Raw genomic sequence first — 9,122 nt, forward strand, 5'->3', positions numbered from 1 at the left:
GATGCCAGGAACCACAGAGCCCCAAAGAGGGTGTTGCAGTGTGTCACAGTCCTGGCTTGGGGATTTCTCAGGTCTGGGGTCCCAGAAGCGTCACAGCTCTTCATTCCTTCTTGTTGGCCGCAATGTGGCAAGTAGGGGGCGTGTTTCAGCCCTGTTTGTGTTACGGCTTTTTCTGTCCCACCAGTTGTCAGGTCTGAGGTTCTTGTCCTATGTCCAGGAAGATTGAGGTATGTGGACAACTGGAGGGTGAGCAAGATGGAGAGGCACTTCATTGAGTGACAGAAGAGCTCTGAGGAGACCTGAAGTGGATAGCTTCTTTCTGTAGGTAGGTCATCCTGATGAGTGGCCAGCTCTCAGCAGAGGGGAGACCCATAGTGGGTAGCTCCTTTCTGCAAGCAAGTCAGCCCAATGAGTGTGTGAATCTGGCTGAGTCCAGGGTTTTTATGGGCTCAGAAGGGAGGTAGTGCATGCTGATTGGTCCATGGGTGGCCATGAGCAGGCCTGGAGAAAGCACCATAAGTTCTCACTCCAGGTCACAGACTCCACACGGAACTGGCAGCCTGCCCCCAGGCTTCAGGCCATCCCTGATTTGAAGGTGGGGCTTCACCGAGGACCCACCCTTTCCCATCTAGGAACCTGTCTGCCTCCTGCCATCATCAACATGCCAGCCATGATGCCCAGGCTGTTTGTGCTTAGGGGCACCTGCAGGCCCAGTCAAGCCACCCTCAGTCACCCACTCTTGGCCTCCCTCGCTGAGCTCATCATTGCCCAAAGCTTCAGAGAGGACCTAGGCAGCAGGGGGCTGGCATGTCAGCACCACCCTGAGTGCATGCACACCTGGCCAGGTCACGAGAGCACCTGGGCTTAGCTTCAACATTGCTCTGAAATCAGAGTGGGCACTGGAAGTGGGGAGACGTTAGGGAGTGGGAGCAGGCACTTCTGAGCCTGTGGGGGCAGGGGGAGCTTCCCAGACCCCTGAAATTGCAGGGATGCCCACGTCTGGAGCCATGGTTAGGTGGCTGCAGCTGTACCCAAGAGCTCAGGGCTCCCATTCTGCCAACACAGTAGGGGGCAGGACTCCCACCTGCTCCCAGCCTTTGCCACTCCACGGAGTGTGCAGCTCTGGCCACACCTCCCCCACTGCAGCTGGTGTCCCCATAGTGGCTGCTCCAGATGGGCTGCCACCACTGTCACCCTGTGTCTGATACTCCTTGTATGAACTGGTTTCCCTTGACTAGATTAGAGCATAATGGTAAGTCTTTAGTTCTGAACCTCAGCAGTTACTATTTTTGCTGCTTTCCTTTAGAGGGCTTTGAAAGTCCCCCAGACAAATCTAGATTTGATACTGAAGGAAAAAGAAATCATGTAGCCTGTAGGGCAGAAAAGTTCTCCCCTTCTCTCTCTACATTCTCTCTGGTGGTTTTAGGAATGCACCTAGACAACAGAATTTCATATTTTTTTCTTTTTGGTATCCTTTCCAAACAAATAGGTTATTTTTGCTTTCATAAAGTATTTGTGGAGTGGAGAACTCTAATTAATTCTCAACTTGAACCAAGAAGTGTAAGATTTGCTATAAAATTTAAATTCTGCTACAGTTTTGACTATCTCCAGCCAAAGCTCCTTCTAATTAAGGCTATTATTGAAGCAAGAGTGGAAAAAATGGGAGTCAATATTACCCCACTTATATATTTTGTTTGGTATAAATATTGTTCTAAAACATGAACGCAAATATCTTTAGGCAGGATCTATGCTTTCCATTTTATTACAATGCTCACCATTTCCTATCATCTTTGCTTCAGTCACTGAATTTGACTGGCCTTTGATGACATATAAATTCTTATTAAAGACTCAAGTGATTTTCTTCTATTTTGCATTTAAATCATATTAAAATCAATTTAACAAATAATAATTGGACACAAAGTAGTCCAAAAAATCACACTTTTTTGGACACATTGCAGAATACAATAGATATAAAGTGTGAGGCTGGTCCACAAAAAAATAATAACAATATCTTATATAACCTTACAAATCTGCATTTTCTTTTTAACACTGCTATTCTGTGGCATACCATAAAGTCTGTCTAGAATACAGACTTGGGTACCGAGCGAGGGTTTGTATTTTTACTTTGTATTCTTACTTTGACATTTGTATTCTTACTTTGACACTGTGATGGTTAATATTGTCACCTTGATGGGATTAAAGGATCTCTAGATAGCTGGTAAAGTATTGCTTCTGGGTGTGTCTGTCAGAGTGTTGCCAGAGGAAACTGACATTTGAGTCAGTGGACTGGGAGAAGAAGACCAACCTTCAGTGTGGGTGGGCACCATCCAGTTGGCTGCCAGTGTGGCTAGAACAAAGCAGGAGGAAGAAGGTGGGCTAAGCTGGCTTTCTCAGTCTTCTGGCTTCCATCTTTTTCCTGTGCCGGATGCTTCCTCCCATCCCTCCTGCCCTTGGACATCAGACTCCAGGTTATTCAGCCTTTGGACACTGGGACTTGCACCAGTGGCTTGCCAGGAGCTCCCGGGCCTTTGGATACAAACTGAAGGCTGCACTGTCAGGATTCCCTGGTTTAAGACTTTCAGACTTGGACTGAGCCAGTTTCTCTCTTCCCCAGCTTGCAGACAGCCTATCATGGGACTTCACCTTGTAATCATGTAAGCCAATTCTCTCTAATAAGCTCCCTTTTATTTTTGTGTATATATGTATATATAAAAGGGAGTTTATTACATATGTGTGTGTATATGTGTGTGTATATATACACATTAGTAGCACATATATGTGTGTATATTAACTGCGCATGGTGGCACATGGCTGTAGTCCCAGCTACTTGGGGGCTGAGCGAGGAGGATCACCTGAGCCTGGGAGGCAGAGGATGCAGTAAGCCGAGATGGCACCACTGCACTTCAGCCTGAGTGACAGAATGGGAGCTTGTCTAGAAAAAAAATAAAAAAGCATATTGTCTGATGTTATTTACTACAATGAATTTGCATTCTCAAGTGAAGCAGAGGCAGCAAGGTAGTTGAGAAGTGAAAATCTGGGTTTGAGTTTGTTTTTCATATTTTGTTTTCAATTTAGACTTTTCTGATCATTTGTCAACATGAAATCTGGGATAATGGTGGAAGCACTTAAAGGTAAGGGGAAAAGCTGAGCGAGGTTCCACATTTCCTAGTAAATTAAAGAGGAATCTCTAGGAGATAACTAGATGATGGAAATAAGAAATGAACCAAGTGTGATATATCCAAATAGCATGAGTACAAAAGAGTAGAGATTTTAGAAGTGGCTCTGAGAAGCATGCAGATCCCAATATGAACTCCTGACTCTAAGGATGCTTAAAAAATGAGTAACAGATGAAAATGTATATATCTGTATATATGGACAAGGAAACTTCAGTTAAGGTATAAAATTGGAAGAATTTGGGGTAAGTGATCAATGATAACAGCAAACACTTCTTGAATGATCACTATGAGTGAACTTTGTGCTAGGCACCTTATATAATAATTTAACTTTATTCTTTCAGAAATTCTTTGAAATAAATACTATTTGTATATCCATTTTACAAATGAGAATAGTAAAACACTGAGAGATCACATAAATTGTTGAAGACCACCATGCTAGTAAGCAGTGGAACCAACATTTTAAATGGAGCAGTTTCAGCCCAAAGTATACACACCAAACCTTTTGTTCTATGCTTCCTCCCAGGCCAATAATGGGAGGGAGTTTATTTGCTTTGTAGTATAGCTTCCAGAGGACAAAGAAGAACAATTTGGAAAATATATCCATTTAGTTATGCTGAGATAACAAATATGCCCCAAATTTCAGTAAAACCACAAATGTTTATTTTTTCTTTTCATTAAATGTTAATTATGAGTTGCCTAGGAGCTCACCTCCCTATGAGTAAGCTCATGAGGCCACCACTGTGTATAGAATATTGCTCACCTACGTTAGAGAGGAACAGACACTCCTGGATCAGCTTGCATTTGCAATGAATTGCTGTTGCCCAGAAGTAACACACAGCACTTCTCATATCTCATTGGCCATAAACAGTCACATGACTAACAGCAAAGGGGTCAGAAAATGCAAACACGCTGTGTGCCATGAAGGCAGATAAATAGCTGGAAATACTAGGGAACATAATAATGGCTGGAGCCAAGTGAACGGTACTCTCTGCTCTCCATTATTTCCTGGATAACTGATACCAAGATGAGTCTATAAGAAGAGAGGTGTGCTTGAAATAACTTATGTATCCAGCAGCAATCAAAGATAGCAGAAACTCAGAGTTGTCCAGAAAAAATCAGCCTTTGGTGGGAATTAAGTGCATTCATATAGGTAAATGCAAATCACAATGCCTGGCATAGAGTCAAGAACTTGGTAAATATTGTCAATTATTATAAAGTGCCAAGTTTTATTATGTTTTAAAATAAATGTATATGCATTCAAGAGTTTCTTAATGAGATACTGTTCACTCCTTTCCTGACCAAGAACATACAACAGTTCATTATTACATCTAGCTTATTATTACATATTAATACCTATTAGACATATTTTTCACTTTTCCATTGAAGTCAAAGTTCTTATGAGTTATCTATACCATGTTCCACTCTTTCATCTCCTTTTCTTTATTTAACAGCCTGTAATCTGTCTTCCTCTCCATCACTTTACTGAAAATATCATCAGAGACCTTCTGGCCAAAACCAGAACAAATTAATATTGTGAGTCCTTTTCCTATCTGTACTTTTCAAAAGATAAATTCTTTTTTCCCCTAATACCACATTGTCTTAGTTTTTAATTTTGTTATTTTTATTTTATTTTGTTTTTTTACATATGGGGTCTCGCTCTGCCACCCAGGCTGGAGTGCATTGTCATGATCACAGGATCACAGCTCACCACTGCCTTAAACTCCTGAGCTCAAGCAGTCTTCCCACTTCAGCCTTCAGGGTAGCTGGGACTACAGGTGCATGCCACTGGGCCTGGATATTTTTTTTATTTTTTGTAGAGACAGGGTCTCACTTCATTGTCCATGCTGGTATTAAACTCCTGGACTCAAGCGATCCTCCCACCTTAGCCTCCCAAAGTGCTGAGATCACAGGTGTAAGCCACATACCCAGCCTCTTAGTTGTTTTTATGCTTTTTAGCTCCCCTTTTTTACCTTCCTTTATAGGTTCCTCTCTTCCCTCTTCTTTTTCCTTACTCCTACAGGTGGTATCCCCAGTGGTGGGTACTTTTCCTCCTCGGCTCCAGGTCCATGCGTCTGGGTCCTGCTGGATAGTCCCTCCCCTAATGATCTCACCTTCTACCGGAAGACCCACTGTGGTTTACCTTCCACTGGGTCCACTCAGATCTCAGGCTCTGTTACACCACCCACTTTTGTTCCTCCAGCTCTCCAGAGGCAGAAGCATTCTGGGGTGTGGCTATTCTCTAGGTTGCTTCCCCATTTCCTCAACTTGTCTATTGCTTATGTAACTGATTCCTTCTATTGAATTTTCTCTGTTGGAAATATCTAAGGTAGTTTCAATTTTCTTATTGTATTCTAACTGATAAAAATGGCTAAATCAATTTGTGGAGTAGTGATGGATTAGTGGAAATAGAGAGACTGGATTAAGAGAAGAAGTGGTACCAGAGTTCTGCAGTAATCACACATACCTAAATTATTTGCTTTCATTAACTTTAAGGATATTTTAAAACAGAGTGTGCACAGCAAGAGGGACTGTGATGATCCTGAGTGTTGAAATCTCACTGCATGATGCAAACTAAAAGGGCTTGGGGCTGTGGGTGTAAGAGTCATCTTGACCATTGACAGTGCAGTCACGTTGAAGAACAGACACACTTTATGTTGTTCTATGGTCAGCAATGAGGAGGATCAGATTATGAATAAACAACAGAATCTTCCAACAAACAAGGATGACTAGGCTGCCTCATGAAGTTTGAGTTGTCAGTAACTGAAAATGGCCAAGCAAAGACCACAGGTCTATTTTTAAGGGACTCTTGTTCTACTGTGGAGCTGAACTGGGTAATACACAAAATCTTTTCCAAATTGAAAAATGGATGGCTTACCCAGGTCTCTGCAACCAGGTCAGCTGTAGCAGCAGAAGGAGAATATACAACCCCTGAATCAGAAAGTTCCAAAATGTCTTCAGTTTAAGTATACTTATATAAACCAATATAAATAAAACTCCATGCCATCCACCTATTTCCAAAGGGCCTCATAGTTGACAATTTACATTTGCAAGAAGACTAAGATATGACTCATTTTATATCATATTGCTCTCAAAAAAGGCTTCATTAATTTGTACTATGCTGAGTGGAAATTATTCAAGAAGGCTGCTATTTCAATAGGACTGATACTTGCCCATCTGGGTAGATCCATATCACAAGAGTTCACTGATAGACATATTCTGATGTAAAACCTTTTTTCTTGTTTTACCTCTACAGATTTTTTCACCTCACTTTCTCCTTGATTTTATCCCAAGTATTTTGAAAATGTTCCAATTTTGACATCAATCCAATTGCTGAGAACTCTAGCATAAAATGAAGAAAGACACATAAAAAGAACAGCATTAACCATATAAGCACATTCATGCCACATTTATAAGGCAATCAGAGAAAACATGCATATGTACCCAAGTCAGGCAATTTTACATGTGTAACAACTTATCTAATTAAAGAAAGAAATATTTGACAGATCTATACTGGTCAACTAATTACACATTTTCTTTTAACAATAACTAGAATTCAGATGCCATCTAATTACTATGTTTTCCATGATTGAAACCTTAAAATTTTTTTCTTATGTATCAATTGCAATAACATAGTTATTTACATCTATTTTTCTTGATATCTTTATTCTAAATGTCTTTCTTCTTTGCCTCAGTAAAAGTATTCCTCTCTATTGCATATAAATGCTGCATGATAAAAGTACCGCAAAATTTAATGTCTTAAATAGCCTTTACTAAGCTTACAAGCCTTCAAGTCAGCAAATCAAGTTGAATTCTGCTGGGCTGGTCTCAGGTGGGCTCACTCGCATATCTGATGGCTATAGTCACAGAAGTGACTAGACCATGTGTCTCTCATCATTCAGCAGGTGAGCTTAAGCATGTTCTCATGGCAAAATTGAGGAGAAAAAAAATAGAAACCTACAAGTGCTATTTCAAGACTCTACTTGTCTCAAGTTTGCTACCAACCATTGGTCCAAGCAAGTCACATGGGCAATCACCGAGGCAGTGAAGGGTACAACGAAAGGGCATGCATACAAGACACCTGGATAAACTGGGACCATTCATGCCACATAAAGAAAACATGCCTAAGTGCACAGTTAATGCAATTTTACATGTGTAATAGCATTCTAACAAAGGGATAAATCCTGTTATCTGTGCTGATCAATAGGTTAACTGGTTTTATTTAATAATATATTACAAACTCAAATGCCATCTATTTGCAATGTTTGCCTTGATTGAAACCTTTAAATATTCCATATTTATCATTTGCTGAAAAACTTTACTTGATTTCTTTATTGTAAGAGTCTTTTTACTTTCAGCCCAATGAATAAATAGACAGGTAAACCTCTTCCTGGTGTGCTGTTGGTTTTGCTGGAGAGCCTCTGTTCTTGAATTGAGGTGCTGACTGTTTATTTCCATGAGTCAAAAAGCAAAATTTAAACATACCAAATTGTCTACTGTCCATGGTTGGATCTTGGACAAACACAATGCAGCACTTTAAATATGGCTGTGGAAATGATTACTGCTGGTTGCTCATGAGGAATTATTCATCATCACCTCATGTGTTTGGTTCTTTCTTCACCTCCTACTCCACAGACATGAGTGCTCACCATTTTGTGGCCATATCTAAAAGAATTATTAGTCATTAACCTACCTCTTCACCAAACAAGTATTTTTCAAATAAGTATTAAGAATATTGTTTTTAATTGAAAAATAAACAACCCAGGTATATTTTGTCTACTAAACCATGGTTTTATTAAGGGTCGACATAAACCCATGCCGCCTCAAACTTCTGAAGCAATCAAATAGGTTATATGACTAAAAGGAACTACATATTATTAAGGTGTTTTTCCCTTCACATAAGATCTTTAAAGAAGATACTACAGCGGTAAATATAAGCCAAAAGCCTATTTTATGTGAAATTTTACCATACCTTACTTTTTTTTTTTTCCTTTATTTTACTGGATTTCAAAACACACATGTACATTGGCATGAATGTGACCTGTCTCATTATGAATAAAACACCCAAGCAATATGAGCACATTTTAAAACAACAAAGAGTGTACAAAAGTTCAGTCTTCTGGAAAATGCTTGAAAGATATTGTGGATTTTTCCATTTACAGAAGCCTTATTGTTACTGTCCTTCCCACATCTGCTATTCATTTTGGGTACCTCCCCACAATTCAGTGAACAAAGGTGCCAAAATGTTGTTATTAATAATTCTCAAGTACCTTCTTCCTTTACTTCTAAATAAAAGATCTTTAATATATAGAAAGGATACTTAGTTTCACGTGAACCAGGATGCATAGTCTTAGCTACAGGTCTGTGGTTTGGGTGACACTATTTTGTGAAAACAAGGTGCACTGGCAGTTTGAGAGGCACAGGGCACAGTGTTGAGTGTGTTCTCTAGGATGAGATAAACCCAGGACACCAGGACCAGTTCAACCCGGGTCTCACAGAGATTGCTACGAACACTTGGCAACTTCTCAAACCCTAGTTTTCTCATCTGCTTATAATTCTTTATAACTACAACAATAACACAAATGTCCTAGGGAAGGCTATTTTCTGGGGGAAAAAAAAACTGCAGAAGATCTTTCTATAAAGGACAGTACTCTATGACATAAATTCCCAATCTCTCTTTTTTTGTAAATGTAGAATTTTGCCTTTTGATTTTTCCCTAAAGGAAGGCACGCCTATTTTTCTAGAATAAACAACCACAGAACTTCGTTAGTTTAGGGGCGGAAAACGTAAAGGTAGTGGTGTTTTTGTCCCACTGGCACAGATGCTTTAAGCTTTAAAACAACCTCCTACTTCTTAATCCCTCTCTCCATATTCTTGCCAAGCTCTCTGGAAATCTGAGTTTTGGACACCCTCCAATACCACATCTCATCCATATGCCTGCCACAGAGG

At 40.1% G+C, this 9,122-nt stretch overlaps 1 annotated feature.

Annotated features, from left to right (window-relative positions):
* Positions 233-759: an enhancer, noted in NCBI's record as "H3K27ac-H3K4me1 hESC enhancer chr2:158021454-158021980 (GRCh37/hg19 assembly coordinates)". NCBI's record gives its function as "activates a minimal SCP1, AML or CMV promoter by ChIP-STARR-seq in primed H9 embryonic stem cells {active_cell/tissue: H9 hESC(primed)}" and the evidence as "EXISTENCE:reporter gene assay evidence [ECO:0000049][PMID:30033119]".

This window comes from Homo sapiens, chromosome 2, assembly GCF_000001405.40.
Source record: "Homo sapiens chromosome 2, GRCh38.p14 Primary Assembly".
Classification (NCBI taxonomy): domain Eukaryota; kingdom Metazoa; phylum Chordata; class Mammalia; order Primates; family Hominidae; genus Homo; species Homo sapiens.